The sequence below is a fragment of the Homo sapiens genome, chromosome 3 (assembly GCF_000001405.40).
Source record: "Homo sapiens chromosome 3, GRCh38.p14 Primary Assembly".
NCBI lineage: Eukaryota > Metazoa > Chordata > Mammalia > Primates > Hominidae > Homo > Homo sapiens.
Genome location: NC_000003.12, coordinates 185,450,757 through 185,471,685, shown reverse-complemented (window position 1 = coordinate 185,471,685; position 20,929 = coordinate 185,450,757). Strand labels below are relative to the sequence as shown.

General features: G+C 40.4%; 1 protein-coding gene and 1 long non-coding RNA gene across 8 annotated transcripts in view, besides 1 other annotated feature; one reads left to right on the top strand and one right to left on the bottom strand.

Annotated features, from left to right (window-relative positions):
• Positions 1–20,929, bottom strand: part of MAP3K13 (mitogen-activated protein kinase kinase kinase 13) — a 206,134-nt gene that overhangs the window by 17,409 nt on the left and 167,796 nt on the right. For all 7 annotated transcript variants that reach the window (XM_047449193.1, XM_017007456.2, NM_001242317.2 and 4 more), the window contains 4 exons: positions 20,291–20,399; positions 8,027–8,136; positions 5,823–5,939; positions 4,723–4,860 (listed from right to left, as the gene is read on the bottom strand). In XM_047449193.1, coding sequence (XP_047305149.1) covers positions 4,723–4,860; positions 5,823–5,939; positions 8,027–8,136; positions 20,291–20,399 — 474 coding nt within the window. The remainder of the gene's footprint in view (positions 1–4,722; positions 4,861–5,822; positions 5,940–8,026; positions 8,137–20,290; positions 20,400–20,929) is intronic.
• On the top strand, positions 383–15,083 carry LOC124906312 (uncharacterized). The gene is made up of 3 exons (XR_007096202.1): positions 383–4,654; positions 10,821–10,965; positions 12,841–15,083. It is a non-coding gene; the product is annotated as an uncharacterized LOC124906312 (long non-coding RNA).
• Positions 19,499–19,699: a silencer, noted in NCBI's record as "peak4968 fragment used in MPRA reporter construct". NCBI's record gives its function as "represses an SCP1 promoter by STARR-seq MPRAs in K562 erythroleukemia cells {active_cell/tissue: K562}" and the evidence as "EXISTENCE:reporter gene assay evidence [ECO:0000049][PMID:32103011]".

Here is a 20,929-nt window from a genome sequence, read left to right as displayed (position 1 = left end):
GAGTTCGAGACTAGCCTGGCCAACATGGTGAAACCCCATTTCTACTAGAAATATAAAAATTAGCCAGGCGTGGTGGTGGGCGCCTGTAATCCCAGCTACTCAGGGGGCTGAGGCAGGAGAATCACTTGAACCCAGGAGGCAGAAGTTGCAGTGAGCTGAGATCGTGCCACTGCACTCCAGCCTGGGTAACAAGAGTGAGACTCCATCTCAAAAAAAAAAAAAAAAAAAAAAAAAGTAAAGGTCGTCCAGGTACAGGCTCACACCTGTAATCCCAGCACTTTGGGGGCCAAGATAGGAGGATTGCTTGAGGCCAGGAGTTTGAGACCAGTCTGAGCAACATAGCAAGACCCTATCTCTACAAAAAAAAAAAAAAAAAAAAGCAAAGGTCATGGCAACAGTTTTTTTGGGATGCTCAAAGCATTTTGCTTGTTGACTTTCTGGAGGGCCAAATAATGACAATATCTGCTTATTATAGGAGTGTTTTAGAAAGTTAGCCAAAACATTAGCAGAAAAAAATCCAGGAAACCTTCACCAGAGAGTCCTCCTCCACCATAACAATGCTCCTGCTCATTCATCTCATCAAACAAGGGCAATTTTTCAAGAGTTTCTATGGGAGATCATTAAGCATCCACCTTACAGTCCCGATTTGGCTCCTTCTCATTTCTTTTTGTTTCCTAATCTGAAAATACCTTTAAAGGGCATCCATTTTTTCTTCAGTTAATAATGTAAAAAGACGGTATTGACATGGATACATTTCCAGGACCCTCAGTTCTTTAGGGATGAATTAAATGGCTGATATCATCACTTACAAAACTATCTTAACCTTGATGGAGCTTATGTTGAGAAGTAAAGTTTATATTTTTAATTGTTATCTTTTATAATTACATTTTCCATGAACTTTTTGAAGTCCCCTCATATGTGCATCAAAATACATGTTTGATGATGTTATGTTACAGTATTTTTTGAAATAGCAAAAAGCTGGAAACAACCTACATGTCCACTTACAGAGGATTTCTGTTATTCCTTCTGTATTATATCCTACACCTCACCCTAGAAAGCAAGGACTCTTGTTTATAGTGAGTACTCAGAGAAGCTTGAAGGAAGGAAAAGGAAGGGAGGGGTCAGAGAAGGAGGAAAGACAGAGCTCAGCAGGAGGTTGAGTAGAAGCAGGAAGAGACGGGCTAGTGCGGAGTGACACTGGCATTTCACTTTGATCCTAAAGGGAGGGAGTTCTTTCACAGTCCTGTTTTCAAGTCTTCACTGGGCCAGTTGTGAAGATTACGTGCAAAAGAAAATCAGAGGCCTGAAGTTACACCTTGCCCACACTGACTCCAAGGCCTGCAGGTGAACAATAAATGGTTTCTAAACTGATGAACTGATTCAGGGCAGAGCCTCTAGGATTACCAGGAAGAACCACTGCTTTCTTCCTACCAGCAAGTAGCCTTACCCTTCTTTGGACCAGAAAGACACAAGTCAGCATGAAATTTTACAGGTGATGGGCCCAGACTTTTTTGTTTTTAACAACAGAATCCTCTCGAATTATTATGAGAAATGCAATAAATAAAAAAGGTATAGTGGAACCGGTTGAAGTGGAGAGCAGCAGCCCTTCTCTGCAGAGTTCCCAGGTTCCCCCTCCTTGTCCTTCCTACCCCTGCAATAGCCTCTGAGAAACCTCTGTACAAGCCCTTGGGTGTTCCAGGCTTTGCTTGGAAACCACAGGTACAGTCCTGTCTTCACCATATGTGACAAAGAGCTCACAGCCCAGCCAAAATGGCTGATGCTCTCATAGCTCATTAGTGGTAGAATCCAGACAAAAAGTCTCTCCTAATTTTCAATCTGGTTTATTGAAGGTCAGAGTTCAAACTTGAAGGCACATACAAATCACCCGGGGAGCTTGTTAAACACGAAGACTTTGATTTAGTAGGTCTGGGGTGGGGCCTAAGAGCCTGCAAGTATAACAAGCTCTCAGATGATGCTAAAGTGAGGCCACACATTGAACAGCCACAGCTCATAAGTAGGCAGCAGGCAGCAGGAGATGGGTTTTTCTTCGTTTACAGGAAAAGTACAGTTAAGGACTTGTCTTAGCATGGAAGTTCCAGGTATTAAGGGTTTATGATAAGGTGGGTAGGGTATTGTCTGCTATTGGCAGCTTCCTGTCCCAGATTCAAAATTCTGTGGTCAGCTGGCCAATTTGTACTGCAGAAAGCACTTTGTTCCTACTATTACAATACCCATTTGATGGAGAAGTGCACTGAGGATCAGAGGTTATGCTGGGTTGTATCCATCACAAAGCCAGCAAGTGGCAGAACTCATAACTTGAACCCAAGTCCGTTGACCCCAAGGCATAGTTCTTCCCCATTTCAAGCCTCTCATTATTACAGGGTATTTAGACTATCTTTTTGGACTGTACTCACTTATGACAGGCTGGAAATGTCCATGACTGAACTTGACACTCTTTTTAGTCTCTAACTAAACATAAACTGAAACCTGGGCTTAAGGATGGTTGAATGGTTTCTCCTCTCTAATTTCCTTCAAGGTCTCCAGACTTCTCACTAGGTAATCATTGGACTGTCCAAATCATCTGAAACGGAAGTCCTTCAAGGGACAATCAGCTGACAGTACAGCTCTTTGCAGGTTGCCTTCCTCGTGTTCAGCTAGCTCATTGACTAAGCATCTACTTGTGTTGTCAAACTCTTTCAAACATTTCTCATAGCCAAAATAAAAGCAAACATGAGCTCATATTTGAAAAAGCTAAATAGTTCTATTTTCTCCCCCAGCGCTCTTAGTTTTAACTGTAGGCAGAAGGCAGGGAGCAGCCATCGGGCAGACTCTGTCCCTAATTAGTACAACAAAAGAAAAGGGGTGTTGGGATTTCCCCCAACCCCAAGGATTGTGTCAGGTGGAATCTGAAAAAAGTTTCTCAGAACTTGACCATTAGATGGTTGGGGCAGAAGGTAAAAGCAAAATTGGAATTAGTCCGTGTAGTTACTCGTTAGAAGTTAGGTACCTATTAGTCCAGCTATGGTAGAATGACTGCCATTCTGATAGAGTCATAATACATTCTTGGTTTGTGTTCTCTCATTAGCTCTATTCTTACTGCATTTAACTCACATCTCACTATTAGGTCTATACCCTAGGTTTAGGGACCTTCCTTCCCTTTACATTAACTTAGCTAGGAGAGAGCCAACCCTCTGTTATTGAGGAATGAGTCTCTACAGAGTTTGGTAAGGAAAAATGAGAGGAAGAGAATTCCAAGATTAAACTAATACAAGGCAAATATGTAGTAAAAAGGGGAAAGGGCAATCTTTTTTTAAACTATCCCAAAATACATTTTTCGAGCACCTATGATTTGATAGATGATTTCACATGTTATACATGTTATCATATTTAAACTTCACAAAACTCCCATGCTAGGGTACAATGAGGGGAACCCATATGGTTAGATATAGGTAATTATCAAAGGCCCTGCTTTTGTTTCCATGATGAGTGATACGGTTTGAGTCTACGTCCCCACCCAAATCTCATGTCGGATTGTAATCCCTACTGTTGGAGGTGGGGCCTGGTGAGGGGGTGATTGGATCATGGGGGCAGTTTCTCATGAATGGTTTCGCATCATCTCCTCGGTGCTGTTCTCATGATAGTGAGTGAGTGAGTTTTCATGAGATTTGGTTATTTAAAGGAATGTAGCACCTCCTGCTTTGCTCTCTCTTCCTCCTATTCCAGCCATGTGAAGCGCTGGCTCCCCCTTTGTTTTTCACCATGATTATAAGTTTCCTGAGGCCTCCCGAGAAGCTGAGCAGAAGCTGTCATGCTTCCTGTGTAGCCTGCAGAACCATGAGCCAATTAAACCTTTTATCTTTATAAATTACCCAGTCTCAGGTATTTCTTTTTTTTTTTTTTTTTTGAGACAGAGTCTCGCTCTGTCACCAGACTGGGGTGCAGTGGCATGATCTCAGCTCACTGCAACCTCCGACTCCCTGGTTCAAGTGATTCTCCTGTCTCAGCCTCCCGAGTAGCTGGGATTACAGGCACGTGCCACCACGCCCAGATAATTTTTGTATTTTTAGTAGAGATGGGGTTTCACCATGTTGGCCAGGATGGTCTTGATCTCCTGACCTCATGATCCACCCACCTCGGCCTCCCAAAGTGCTGGGATTACAGGCGTGAGCCACCGCACCCAGTCAGGTATTTCTTTATGGCAATGCAAGAAGGGACTAATACAGTGAGTTTGCAGGTACTTTCCACATTATTAAAAAGAACGAACTAAATGTGTGAATAAAAGTAAGCCATGCATGGTCTATTGTGTTGTAAATCAAGAATTATGACTAACCCAATTCTGTGTCCTAGAGGTCAGAAAAATAAAAAGAAATCTCATGTGCTGTAATTGTACCATTTTATCCATGAGGACACTGGGGTTGACAGAGGTCAACTCACACAGCTTATAAGGCAGGTCCAGGATTTGCATCCAGGTCTGTCTGGCCCCCAGTTTATTTCTCTTTCCATGCTAAGACAATAAATATTTATGCCACAGATGTAAAAGCTAGATTCCTAAAGTTTGTGATACTCCCTCACCTTCTTACTCTGTTTTACCTAGAGTACTGAGTATCTCTACAGTCATCTGATGAGCTAAAGAAGAGGCCACATCCGCCATCATGTGAGAATGGATTTGTGGGTGGGTCTTTCCCTATTTATCTGAATACTGCGTTTGTACAGGTGTCTCACCGTTTGGTCTGCATCCCAGATTTGTGAGGCACTCCTTTCCTTTTCATGAGTTTCTCCATGGCATTGGGATGGATGATAGGACGAACAGGGTGTCGTTTGTAGGTCCCAGGATACTTCTTTTCCACTGCTTGCTCACGCCTGCAGAATAAAGGCAAAAGCCACACCTCAGTCATTGCAGACAGAAAGGATAGGCAGAATATTTTCACCGGCTAATTCTACCACAGATTCTGCCACATTTAGCTATTTGAATAACAAGACTGCTATTCAGGTTTAAAAAACAAACAAACAGCCGGGCTCGGTGGCTCAGGCATGTAATCCCAGCACTTTGGGAGGCCAAGGTGGGTGGATCACCTGAGGTTGGGAGTTCGAGACCAGCCTGGGCAACATAGTGAAATCCCATTTCTACTAAAAATACAAAAATTAGCTGGGCATGGTGGCATGCACCTGTAGTCTCAGCTACTCAGGAGGCTGAGGCAGGAGAATCACTTGAATCCGGGAGGCGGAGGTTGCAGTGAGCTGAGATCATGTCACTGCACTCCAGCCTGGGTGACAGAGCAAGACTCCATCTCACAAAAAAAAAAAAAAAAAAAAAAAGGAAATACTAAATTCAAATTAACCTGACTTCATTCTGCTCTTCAGCTCATGCACTGAGACACTAATACTCACTTTCATTTCCCCAACATAATACAATGACAGAAGTCCTGCTTGTTTTCAGTAGCTGCTTATTTGGTCAGGATTCCCAGGGTTTTCTTGCCACCATCAGGAGTACCTTACACCACTTTCAGCAGCCAATACATTTCCCCAGGGGGCAATCGGCTCCCCGGTCTTCACCCCGTGCTCTTCTTGAAATGGGGACCCCTTCCCTATGCAGCAAATGACTGCCAAGTGCATGTTCTCCTATAACTTGCTCTGTGGCAACTCCACTTATTTGTATACCTCGCCAGGGGCAGGGACCTGTGCATAGCACATCCCGGAAGGAATGTTGGGTGAATGAATAAAATATCTGCCAGTTCTGAGTAGCAGCAACATGGAAGGGTAGTATGTTTCTGCTGATTGACAGACTCAAATCAGTAAGAACAGACACTAGTCTGGATACATACTTAATGAGCTCCTTCTCCCGCATTTCTAGCTGCAGCATGATGGCACTCAATTCCATGTATAAATTATTCGCCCGCTCAAGCTTCCGCTCATAGTGTTCACGAATATCCAGCGCATGCCTGTCAGAGAAAACACAGGGTCAGCCCAGCCAACCAACTTCGGGAGAAAAAAGTCCGCTTGATGAAATAAGAAACAGGATGATTGATCACAAAAGCATTTGCCCAAGGCCCTCTTACTTTAAGCCTCCCTTGTCCAGTGCAGTAACTCAGACAAAATGGAACGGGAGGTGGGAAATCTAAGCTCTCCACCTGGTTTATCCTAAAGAGCCCATGAGCCATATAGAATAGCCAAGAGGGCCACAGATAAAAATCTGTCTATAATTTGTCACTATCTTAATAAGAATACAGTAGAATAGACTCATATGTTAATGGAAATATGCAGTTAAAGCCAACACCATGATCACTCATTTACACTTAGCCACGGCCCAGACCCTGTGTGATATAGTGGTTGGTATGGTCTGAATGTTTGTGCCCCCCAGATTTATATGTTGAAACCTAACACCCAAGATGATAATGTTAAGAGGTGGGGTTGGCCAGATGCAGTGGCTCATGCCTGTAATCCCAGCATTTTGGGAGGCTGAGGCAGGTGGATCACGAGGTCAGGAGTTCAAGACCAGCCTGTGCAATATGGTGAAACCCTGTCTCTACTAAAAATACAAAAATTAGCCCGGCATGGTTAGCACACCTGCAACAGCTACTCAGGAGGCTGAGGCAGAAGAATCGCTTAAACCTGGGAGGTGGAGGTTGCAGTGAGCTGAGATGGTGCCACTGCACTCCAGCCTAAGCGACAGAGAGAGACTATCTCAAAATAAATAAATAAATAGGTGGGGTCTTTAGGAGGTGATTAGGTCATGAGAGCTCTGCCCTTGTCAATGAGATGAGTCCCCTTATAAAAAAGACTTGAGGGAGCCCTTTTGCCCTTCTTCGGTGTGAGGACACATAGAAGGTGCCATCTATGAAGAATGGGCCCTCACCAGACACTGAATCTGCTGGCACCTTGATTATGGACTTCTCAGCTCCAGAACTGTGACCAATACATTTCTGTTGTTTATATATTATCCAGTCTAAAGTTCGTTATAGCATTCAGAACTGACTCAGCTGTGATTGTCTTAGTCTGTTCTCACACTGCTAGAAGAAATACTGGACACTGGGTAATTTATAAAGGAAAGAGGTTTAATTAACTCACAGTTTTGCATGGCTGGGAAGGCCTCAGGAAATTTACAATCATGGCAGAAGGCAAAGGAGAAGCAGGCACCTTCTTCACAGGGCGGCAGGATGGATTGAGTGCAAGCAGGGGAAATGCCAGATGTTTATAAAACCATCAGATCTCCTGAGAACTCACCCATTATCACAAAAACAGCATGGGGGAAGCCGCCCCCAAGATCCAGTTACCTCCACCTGGTTCTTGACACATGGGGATTATGGGGGTTACAATATGAGGTGAGATTTGGGTGGAGACACAGAGCCAAACCATATCAGTGATTATTCGTGAACATGTCTTATCTCTCTCTCTTTTTTTGAGACAGAATCTCACTCTGTCACCCAGGCTGGGGTGCAGTGGCACAATCTGGGCTCACTGTAGCCTCCATCTCCTGGGTTCACGTGATTCTCATGCCTCTGTCTCCTGCATAGCTGGGATCACAGGCATCGTGCGCCACCACACCCAGCTAATTTTTTGTATTTTTAGTAGAGATGGGGTTTTGCCATGCTGGGCGGGCTGGTCTCAAACTCCTGGGCTCAAGTGACCCGCCTGCCTTGGCCTCCCAAAGTGCTGGGATTACAGGTGTGAGCCACTGCACCTGGCCTTATATCTCTTAATAGATTATAAGCATCTTGAAGCCAGGGACTAAATCTTATAAATTTCTGGAATTGCATGGCACCTAGGACACTGGCTGAATGATTAAATAGCATTGTTTCAAGAATCTTTGTTGCAGAGACCTAATAAAAGAGGATAATGGAGTTGGGAAGAAAGGATAGGAAAGAGATACAAAGGAAGGCTAACTTTTGGGGCAACTTTTAAAGAGCATAACAATAAAAAGCAGAGGTGAAAGGTGTGTGGAAAGTGAAATGGTGGTTATGATAAGGGTGCCTGTTAACATCTGAAGACCTGGGGATGAAGGGAGGTGGGGAAGGAGGGATGAGCTGACCTGAGCTCTTCTCTGCGCCTTCGAATCAGTTCTTCATCTAACCGGTGTATACAAGTTCCTTCACTTTTGATCTTCTCAAAATGTTTTTTCACTTCTTCTCTCCATTCAGCCTGGGTAAGGACAAATTAGATTTTGATAAATTCCAGGAGTTTCAATCCCTGATATATCCATAAAGTCACGTACAAGATTTTTTTTCCCTGCATGCTTCTACTGAAGAGCCTTTTTCAGAATAGATGTTCAATAAATATGATTTGATTAATAGCAAAATATCTCCTGCTACTATATCTCCACGCCCCAGCCCACTTCTATATTTCTACTCCAATATATGATGCTGTGTTTTTCCGAGTTTTCCTCCAGCACTGGCTATGAGGAACATCACAGCCGGCATGCTGGCCATCACTTTTGGAATAAAAGAGTTCACTTTAAGGCAAGATGGTGGCTGAGATCGCCTGGCCAGAAAAAAACAGCTCTGATAACCACATGGAAACGTATGTGTGCATGTGAGATTACGAACATCTTTTTGGGCCCAGAATTCCTCCTAGGCTTTGTTTGGGAAAGTATCTTGAGAAAATACCTAGAGTAGAAGACCCTACAGGCATGAACAGCAGGAAATTAGAATAGAAATATAAGAAGCTATACGGGAATTTGGAGTTGAGGGAAATAACAGAAAGGAGAGAAGGAGGAGGAGGAAAGAGAGAGTATGGCCAAGCAATCTAGTAGTTTGACAAAATTTTTAGAGCAGGGATGGATGTCTAATACATGGTTGAAGTTGTTCAAAATGTAAACTTCTTTAAATTTTCTAAACTTTCAGTGAGGTCTCTGACATTCACCTAGGCTTTGAATGACTGCTTTAAAAAAAATTTGTTTATTTATTTATTATTATTTTTGAGACGGAGTCTCGCTCTGTCACCCAGGCTGGAGTGCAGTGGCGTGATATCGGCTCACTGCAGCCTCTGTCTCCCGGGTTCAAGTGATCCTCCTGCCTCAGCCTCCTGAGTAGCTGGGATTACAGGAACGTGCCACCACACCCGGCTAATTTTTGTATTTTTAGTAGAGGCGGGATTTCACCTTGTTGTCCAGGCTGGTCTTGAACTCCTGACCTCAAATGATCCACCCAGTTTGGCCTCCCAAAGTGCTGGGATTACAGGCATGAGCCACCGCACCCGGCCCTGTTTTGTTTTTTAAAGAAAGGTGCTGAATTGAATGTTTGGTCAATATAGGACAAAGATAAAGGCACAACCACAAGGCAGCAGGGGTGGGGACCAAGAATTTTAGGAAGGCAGAGGCAGAGCAGCCATGAAATTATCACTCTCCCAGAAATGTACAGAAGTATTAGAAAGGACATTGAGCTTTCCACAGGGCATGAAATTTCAAGCTAATTTTACCTAAATTTTAGGGGGTAGAAAAAAACCACTACTGGAATATGGCCTACAGGCAATAGGCCACAGAGAGAAACAAACAGTGAAAATAAGTTTCCTCATATTATGTATAGACTATCTTCCATCTCCAGAAGCCAGTGAGACATAATTTCCAGTGAAGGCTAGATTTGTAACTAAATGTATCTATATAATCTTCTCCTGAAATTATTCTACTACCTTTAGATTCATGTTAAAAAGTATCTCTCCAGATCGTCAGGTAGCTCCATTTTGAATTTGGTGGGAGTCTCCCTATTGTTTTCCATGTTAGCTGCACCATTTTGCATTCTCACCAACAGTGTATAAGGGTTCCAGTTTCTCTACATCCTTGCCTATATATATTTTTAAAATTAAAAAAAATAATAGCAATCCCTAATTGCTATTGTGGGTGTGGTGGCTCATGCCTGGAATTCCAGCACTTTGGGAGGCTGAGGTGAGAGGATTGCTTGAGCCCAGGAGTTCAAGACCAGCCTGGCCAACATGGTGAAACCCTGTCTCTACTAAAAATACAAAAATTAGCTGGGTGTGGTGGCCTGCCCCTGCAATGCCAGCTATTCGGCAGGCTGAGGCAGGAGAACCGCTTGAACCCGGGAGGCAGAGCTTGCAGCGAGCCAAGATCATGCCATTGCACTCCAGCCTGGGCAACAAGAGCGAAACTCCATCTCAGAAAAAAAATTAAAAAAATAAAATAAAATAAAAGACAGTAGCTCTCATTAAGTGTACAACAATAATAGAAAGAGTATCTTTCTGGATCAAGTAAGTAGTTATTCTTAAGTAATTGTGGATTTATAGAAGGTTTTCCCCAAATTAGCTGTTTCTCATCTATTTTTATAGAGGAAATTATATTTTAATCATGCAAAAAATGATCATTCTATAATATGCTAGATTTTCCCACATATAGGTTGAACACTGGAGAGAAGTTTCTGTTGGTTGGTTGACTTTCAGGCAGCAAATCTATCCAACAATGCCATTAGAAAGCCAAGATCCAGAATACAGTACTGCAGTCTATGGCCATACCACCCTGAACGTGCCCAATCTCATCAGAATACACTACTGCATTGTTTGATAGGGGCCTTTGACAGCATCTAAGCTGTAAACGAAAGTTTGGTTGAGCCCCTGCTAATGCTATTCTCTCAATCATCAGATCAAAGTCATGGAGCAGGAGGAGTATTTGAGCCTTAGGAGGCGAAAGAATGACAAGTGAAAGTAGTTAGACCAAAAAAGAATAAGAGGGTCAGATTTGTGTCTTGAAGTATCCTCTTTTGTGCAAAACTGTCACTGTATCCTACTAAAATACTCCAAGAAGGGACGAGAAAAGGAGTACCTCCCTCTGGTGGTGAGGAATTTTATATCACAGATGAGATTTGTTTTAATTCTAGAGGAAATAAATCTCCTGACATCTAGCTTATAATTACGGGAAACTCAAGGAGAACTTTCTGAAGATTGAAATCTGTAAGAAAGTAGATTTCCAGAAAAGAAGTTCCCTCCTGTGAACAGAAAAAAGGACGTATGGGAAAACACCAGGTACTGATGAATAATGTGTTTCCCCCGAAGGTATCCTATTCCTGGCACTTGTTGATTTCGAGTTCCATTTTATATACTTAGAATCTCATGGAAAAGGAGTTCCAATTTGAGCTTAATCTGCAATTCAGCCATGTCTGGGCACATATGAAGAAAGGGAGGATGGGCAAGCCCACAGCCAATTTGCACAGCTATCGAGGAAGCTCTGAGAGAGAAGGCTAAGGGTGGGAGGAGTCCTGCATGAGCCTGACCTGTGACAAAGCCACCTTCCTAGGAGTGGAGGGGCATTTCCCATCGTTTCACTACAAGGCCTGAGATACCCTGGAACAGAACCAGCGTTGCTCTCCTGCTGTCCACAGTATTGATAAGAGGCTAATCAGTTAATAGGGTTGCTCCAAAAAATAAAAAAATAAAATAAAAAGTAAAGACAGAGCTTAGTTAAGATAGAAGAGACATTACATTTGTGGGTGGAAGATATGAAAAGAAACGTGTTCTGATGGACAGCAGTCAGGCTCCGTACTATTCAAGGTTTAGGCATCCACTGGGGGTCATGGAATGTACCACGGATAAGTGGGGAATACTGTATAGATGTCAAAATAAAGTCAAATTAATAGATAAACGGATAAACAAAATGTGGTATATATACCATGGAATATTATTTAGCCATAAAAAGTAATGAAGTTGTGACACGTGCTACAAAATACGTGAACCTTGAAAACACACCACGTGAAACAAGCCAGGCACAAACGAACAAATATTGTACTATTCTACTTAAATGAAATAACCTGGAATAGGCAAATTCATAGAGACAGAAAGTAGAATAGAGATTACCGGGGGTGGTGGGGAGGAGGGAATGGGGAGTTACTGCTGAATGAGGTGATGAAAATTTTTGGAAACAGATAGTGGTGACAATTTCACAACATTGTGAATGTAATTAATGCCACTGAGTCATGCATTCAAAAATGGTTAAAATCGGCCGGGTGGAGTGGCTCATGTCTATAATCCCAGCACTTTGGGAGGCTGAGGCGGGTGGATCACCTGAAGTCAGGAGTTCGAGACCAGCTTGGCCAACATGGTGAAACCCCATCTTTACTAAAAATACAAAAAATTAGCCAGCATGATGGCAGGTGCCTGTAGTCCCAGCTACGTGGGAGGCTGAGGCAGGAGAGAATAGCTTGAACCTGGGAGGTGGAGGTTGCAGTGGGCTGAGATCACACCACTGCACTCCAGCCGGGGTGACAAGAGCGAAACTCTGTCTCAAAAAAAAATTTTTTTTAATGGTTAAAATGGCAAATTTTATACTATCTTTATTTTACCACACTTTTTAAAAAGTAAATAACAACAACAAAAAAGAAATTGAGCCAGTTCCAGCCTAGCTTAAGGAGTAGAGAAGCAAGATTTGGGGGGCTTATTAGAGGGAAATCAGATGGGATCAGAAAAGCCATAGTGGGGTCCAGTCCAACCCTTTCTGGGCACACGACTCCTCTCCTGATGTGAGTGTCCAGCCTCTGCATACGTATCTGCTCCCTCACAAGATTACTTTTAAGGCAGCAGAGTCTAACCTCACAGTTGGGGTGTCTCCGCAACTCCCAGTCCCTGCATTTCTGGGCGGTCACAATGGCACTCAAGAGAACACTAGAATGATGCAAAGGCAGCAGGGTGAGAGAGCTTCAAAGCCAGGCACACGATCCACCTGGCAACTGGGATCTGGAATTGGGTGACAGTGTTTTCTAAAGACTCATGTCAAATGTAATTGAATACCAGGAACAGTAATTGCCTATTTGGAGAAATGGGTGATTGTCTAGCAATGAAGCTATAGCTTTGGCAGAATCTAACATTGTATTGAAATCGGTTGCTTTGTTCATCTGCTCCATATAGGCTACATCTTTATACATGTGCTGTTGACGAAAAACAAATGCCGCGTTTTCTCAGGAAGGAGTCAGCTGGACTCTTGGCAGCACCTCTTGACCGAAGTTTTGGTGGAAAGTGGAGACCAGGTGCTAACAACTATTGATTGATAACTGACGTTGAGAGGATCTTAGCAGGCAGGAGGAGGCAAGGCCTCAGGTACAAGAGGACTATAGAAAGAGAATGTGCCTGCCAAAAAGCCAGGTCTTCCCTACTGGGGCAGGATAAAGTCAAACACAATAGGAGTTCCCTGGCTGCCATCTTATTCATCTCAGGAGTTCATCAGAAAAAGAATCCAGAATCTAACAACCCAAAGGAGGCTTAATTTTTGTACTTAGTACAAAGCTACAAAAATTAAGGTGAATAATGGCACCTTTGTTTTTGTTTTATGCTATCGTACGCAACTCAAGAATAATGACATAATGACATCTTTTTTTTTTTTTTTTTTGAGATGGGGTCTCGCTCTATTGCCCAGGCTGGAGTGCAGTGGCTCGATCTTGGCTCACTGCAACCTCTGCCTCCTGGGTTCAAGCGATTCTTGTGTCTCAGCCTCCCAAGTAGCTGGCATTACAGGTGATTACACCACACCCAGCTAAGTTTTGTATTTTCAGTAGACACTTGGTTTTGCCATGTTGCCCAGACTGGTCTTGAACTCCTGACCTCAAATGATCCACCCATCTCGGTCTCCCAAAGTGCTGGGATTACAGGCATGAGCCACTGTGGCCAGCCAAGAATAATGACATCTTACAATCAACTGTTCTTGATGGTCTACAATGCATTTGCAGTTTTATCTTTTCATTTGCTCCTCACAGAAACTCCCTAAGGAAGGGAAGATAGGATTATCTTCATTGTTTTGGTGAATAAGCTGAGGTTTAGTGTAACTGAGTGACTTAGCCAAGACCACACAGTATGAAGTGACAGGATGGAGTTTAGACTAAAGGTCTCTTACTATTTGTAGTACCTCACTAGCCAGTTCATATTAGCTAGAGGTAGTCTCACTTTCAGATCCAGAGACAAATTGACTTATAAATACCGAGAAAATTCTAGGAGGTAGCAAAATAGCAGATTTGGAGCTATTTAAGGAGAAGAGAAATTTTATGTTGGGAAAAATGTGGAAGAAGAAGAAGTGAATATGAAAAAATGCTGCTATGGTCTGAATGTTTGTGTTCCCTCCAAATTCATATGCTGAAATCTTAACTGCAAAGGGACAGTATTAGGAGGTGGGGCTTTGGGGAAGTAATTAGGTCATGAGGGCAGAGCCCTCATGAATGAGAAAAGTGCCCTTATCAAATAGGCCCAAGGGAGCTTGTTCACCCTTCCACCTCGTGAGGACACAGTGAGAAGGCATCACCTATAAACCAGAACTCAGGCCCTCACCAGACACCAACTCTGCTGGTGCCTTGGACTTCTCAGTCTCCAGAACCGTGAGACTAACTTCTGCTGTTTCTAAGCCACCCAGTGTGTGACATTTTGTTGTAGCAGCCTGAGCTAAGATAGATGCTTAATGTACTCAGTTTTCTTCTCCCCTCTTCTCTCCTATTCTGACCTCCTCTCCTGTTCTCTCCTCTCCTTTTCTTTCCTATTCTTTTCCCAAGACAACCTTTTCTGAGTTCAGTTTTAATGCTCCATGCTATGGGTGTCTTGATAATCTGGGAGCGGTTCAGGTGAGGAACCCGACTGTGGCAACTTAGCTGCCCTGCACAGGGCTCTGCAAGTGGTAGGTTCTCAAAATGTGTGACTGGCTTCAGAAGTGACGTTTTAGGAGGACTTAAGTAACATCTGTTCAGAACTGGAAGTTTTTCCAAATATGTAAACTTATATTGACCGTCTTAATGGCTTGTGACTTAATACCATCATCAGAAATTGCTTTTCAAAATTATGCTACGTACAGTTTTATTGTAAAGGAAGCAAAGTTGGCTGTGCACGGTGGCTCACACCTGTAACCGCAGCACGTTGGGAGGCCAAGGTGGGTGGATCACCTGAGGTGAAGAGTTCGAGACCAGCCTGGCCAACGTGGTGAAACCTGTCTCTACTAAAAATACAAAAATTAACCGAGTGTGGTGGCACACGCCTGTAGTCCCAGCTACTCGGGAAGCTGAGACAGGAGAATTGCTTGAACTCGGGAGGTGGAGGCTGCAGTGAGCAGAGATTGCGACACTGCACTCCAGCCTGGGTAAGACAGAGCAAGACTCCGTCTCAAAAAAAAAAAAAAAAAAAAAGGAGAAGCAAAGCTGTGATTGCAACCATATCTTAAAGTTCGAAAGATTTCCTAGCGAGTACTATATTCTCTTTCATTTCACAAAAGGGTTAAGTGTTTTTTCTGATTACTAACAGAAGATAAAGATTTCTCATCCAGTGCCCCGATACCTACATGTATCTGAACAGATGGGCGATAGTGCTAAGGGAATTGATCTGAATGTGTATCAAAGAATGCAGGAAATGCCATGAAGTCAACCTCCTACCTCATCTTATTTCCTCTGAAAGCAAACACTTTACTTACATAATAATTTCTTAGAAATAGTAACAAACAATAGGGGCAAGCCTGACTATTTAAAGACACAGTTGTGGGGAGATCTAAGTTTATGGATCAGAGAGGGTGTGTTAGAACTTTGGTAACAGGACAGGAGTCTCTGATTTATCATTTCTTAGGAACTCCAATCAAAACAACAAAAACCTATGCCTTTACTAAGATATTCCTCAATATCTGTGTGACAGGCAGAGTGTCTCTCTGTGTATCAGACACCACAGAAGTACTCCAAGCCTCCAGCAGGGGCAGGTAGAAAAACATATATCTCATATATATATATATCTCATATATATCTCATATATATCATATATATATCTCATACATATCATATATATACATCATATATATATCTCATATATACATCATATATATCTCATCTATATCATATATATCTCATCTATATCATATATCTCATCTATATCTCATATATATCTCATATATATCTCATATATATATCTCATATATATCTCATATATATATCTCATATATCTCATATATATATCTCATATATATATCATATATATATCTCATATATATATCATATATATATCTCATATATATATCATATATATCTCATATATATCTCATATATATATCATATATATATCTCATATATATATCATATATATATCATATATATATCTCATATATATCATATATATATCATATATCTCATATATATGATATATATATCTCATATATATCATATATATGTCATATATATCTCATATATATCATATATATGTCATATATATCTCATATATATCATATATATCTCATATATATCTCATGTATATATCTCATATATATCATGTATATATCTCATATATATGATATATATCTCATATATATATCTCATATATATCATATATATCTCATATATATATCTCATATATGATATATATATCATATATATCATATATATCTCATATATATATCATATATATCTCATATATATCATATATATCTCATATATATCTCATATATATCTCATATATATATCTCATATATCTCATATATATCTCATATATCTCATATATATCATATATATATCTCATATATATCATATATATATCTCATATATATCATATATATATCTCATATATATCATATATATCTCATATATATCATATATATCTCACATATATATCATATATATATCTCACATATATCTCATATATCTCACATATATCTCATATATATATCTCACATATATCTCATATATATCTCACATATATCTCATATATATATCATATATATCTCATATATATCATATATATCTCATATATATCATATATATCTCATATATATCATATATATATCTCATATATATATCATATATATCTCATATATATATCATATATATATCTCATATATATATCATATATATATCTCATATATATATCATATATATATCTCATATATATATCATGTATATATCTCATATATATATCATGTATATATCTCATATATATATCATGTATATATCTCATATATATCATGTATATATCTCATATATATGTCATATATATCTCATATATATGATATATATATCATATATATCATATATATCTCATATATGATATATATATCTCATATATATATCATATAAATATCTCATATATATCATATATATATCATATATATATCTCATATATATATCTCATATATATATCATATATATCTCATATATATCTATATATCATATATATATCATATATATCATATATATGTGTATATATCATATATATATCTCATATATATGGTATATATCATATATATCTCATATATATGTATATATATCATATATATCTCATATATATATCATATATATCTCATATATATATCTCATATATATCATATATATCTCATATATCTCATATATATATCTCATATATATCTCATATATCTCATATATATATCTCATATATATCTCATATATCTCATATATATCATATATATCTCATATATATCTCATATATATATGATATATATCTCATATATATCATATATATGATATATATCTCATATATGTATCATATATATCTCATATATATGTATCATATATATATCTCATATATATGTATCATATATATATCTCATATATATGTATCATATATATATCTCATATATATGTATCATATATATATCTCATATATATGTATCATATATATATCTCATATATATGTATCATATATATATCTCATATATATGTATCATATATATATCTCATATATATGTATCATATATATATCTCATATATATGTATCATATATATATCTCATATATATGTATCATATATATATCTCATATATATGTATCATATATATCTCATATATATGTATCATATATATCTCATATATATGTATCACATATATATCTCATATATATGTATCACATATATATCTCATATATATGTATCATATATATATATCTCATATATATGTATCATATATATATATCTCATATATATGTATCATATATATATATCTCATATATATATATAATTTTTTTTTTTTTTAGACGGAGTCTCGCTTTGTCCCCCAGGGTGGAGTGCAGTGGCGTGATCTCAGCTCACTGCATCCTCCGCCTCCCAGGTTCAAGTGATTCTCCTGCCTCAGCCTCCTGAGTAGCTGGGACTACAGGTGTGTAGCACCACGTGCAGCTAATTTTTGTATTTTTAGTAGAGACAGGGTTTCACCATGTTGGCCAGGATGGTCTCAATCTCTTGACCTCGTGATCTGCCCGCCTCGGCCTCCCAAAGTGAAAAGCATATTTAAGGACTTGTTCAGCTCCCAGGGATGATGCCCCTCCAAAAGTTCAGGACTGTTTTCATCAGACACTTTCCTGGTGGGTAAACTCATCGCCCTTCAGGGATGGGGGGCTATGAGAAGGAGGCTGAAATGCCAATTGCTAGTAAAATGTCTTTTCTGAGACTGAATCTTTGAAATGCTACTGGAAGTCAGTGGGGAGATGCGATTCACTTTACAAAATTCATTTCTGAAGCACAATAACATTAAGTGAGATAAAGCTATATGAGAAATGAGAAATTAGGTAATTTTGTTATGTTCTATAAGCATACAGCTATAATTCAGGATCATCACATTTATTTCAAAAGTTATAGTTCCATTCCTTTTGATATTGCCTGGGTCTGGAAGGGATAAGGGCCTTATAAAAAATTCATCTCTCACCACCCCCTTATCCACATTGATAGTGGTTAGATGACCAATCCTTATGACATTTGCACCCTTTTAATTTAATTGCCACCAATTCTTCCCCTCTCCAGATCTGCGCCCTTATGATGTGCTGTGGCAGATTCTCTTGTCAAGAGGTGAAGCCTATTTCTCAATCCCGAGAATCTGGGTTGGCCTGTGACTTGCTTGGCCGATGGAACATTAGCAGGAATAATGCAGCACAGGCCTGGAAATCACTTGTGCATTGGGACTTGCTCTCTCGCTACATTTGTTACCCTGAGAACACTATGTGAACAAGCCCAAGGTGGCCTGCTGGAGGGATAGAGGCCACGTGGAGGAGAAGCAAGGTGCTCTAGCTAATAGCCAGCCAGTGGTCAGGTGCGTGAATGAGACCGTCCTAGGACCAGCCAGCCTCCCAGCTGACCTGACAATTCACCACAGACACACGAGTGAGCCCAGTCAAAGCCAGTAGAACTGCCTGGCCCAAATTGCCAACCCATAGAATCATGAGCTACATACACATAAATGCTTACTGTTCTAAGCCATAAGTTTTGGGATGGGGCCAGGCAATGGCTCATGCCTGTAATCCCAGCAGTTTGGGAGGCCGAGGCAGGGAGATCGCTTGAGCCCAGGAGTTTGAGACCAGCCTGGGCAACATGGTGAAACCACATCTCTACCAAAAAAACAAAAACAAAAAACAAAAATTAGCCAGGTGTGGTGGTGCATGCTTGTAGTCCTAGGTACTTGGGGGGCTGAAGTGGGAGGGTTGCTTGAGCCCGGGAGGTGAAGGCTGCAGTGAGCCGAGATCAGACCACGGTACTCCTGCCTGGTTGACAGAGTGAGACCTTGTCTCAAAAAATAAAAATAAAAATAAAAGTTTTGAGATGGTTTGTAGTACAGTAGAGGCTAACAGAATCATTAAATTATACTTACTTGGAGCTACTAGGTGACACACTTAGAGAAAAGGTTCTCTCTAGGCTGAGTTCTATCATAGGCTCATTGTGGTATTTAACCTCCCACGTCTGTACTTCAGCTTTTCTACTTCAAAGAAGATAATACTTTCTTGAAGGTCAGCAGTAATCCTAATTCAGGTGTATGTACATTACAGCTTTCTTATCTTCTTTTTCTCTTTTCTCTTCAGCAGTTTTACCAGGAGCCACTATAAGGATAATATTCTGACACGTGTTTTTTCTTTTCTTTCTTTCTTTTTTCTTTTTTTTTTTTTTTGAGGCGGTGTTTTGCTCTTGTTGCCCAGGCTGGAGTACAATGGCATGATCTCGGCTGAACACTACCTCCGCTTCCCGGGTTCAAGTGATTCTCCTGCCTCAGCCTCCTGAGTAGGTGGGATTACAGGCATGCGCCACCATACCTGGCTAATTTTGTATTTTTAGTAGAAGCGGGGGTTTCTCCATGTTGGCCAGGCTGGTCTTGAATTCCTGGCCTCAGGTGATCTGCCTGGCTCGGCCTCCCAAAGTGCACCCGGCCAACACGTGTTTTTTCAAATGAGTTAATAATAATGTTAAGTGCTTTAAAAGCTCTTAAGATGTCATATGTGTGAAGTATCATATTTATTGTGTCACAATGAATGGAGTTATATAACTATTATAACAAACACAATGGGCCCTTCTAAGAGTTACTCTGTTTCATTGAGAGTTCTCTATCTGTTTAGTAGCACCTGGTAGGAAGTTTCCCAACTTACCTGAGACTTGAAGTAAGTTTCTTGTGGGGTGGCAAGTACATCTGCAGAGGCAATGTCTAAATGCATGAGTGTCTGCCGAAAAGAAGGTCGGTTTCGAGGTTTACTCTGCCTAAAAGTGAAAAAGACAGTTTGTGCATTTCAGAAGTTGTATCCAGGAGAATGAAGATTTTATTTTACTTTATGAAGAAGATTGTTTACTTCAAAATGGCTATATCTGAGTAAAACCAGCTGTACTCCATTATATCAGGATAGCATAACTGAATTGTATCTCAGTACAGTTTTAACATTTCTTTTTTTCTTTTTTTTGAGACGGAGTCTCGCTCTGTCACTCAGGCTGGAGTGCAGTGGCGCAATCTCAGCTCACTGCAAGCTCCGCCTCCTGGGTTCACGCCATTCTCCTGCCTCAGCCTCCTGAGTAGCTGGGACTACAGGCACCCGCCACCAGACCTGGCTAATTTTTTTGTATTTTTAGTAGAGACGGGGTTTCATCGTGTTAACCAGGATGGTCTCGATCTCCTGACCTCGTGATACGCCCGCCTCGGCCTCCTAAAGTGCTGGGATTACAGGCGTGAGCCACCGTACCCGGCCCTTAACATTTCTTTAAATTTATTTTTTATTTTTTTTTCAGAGACGGGGTCT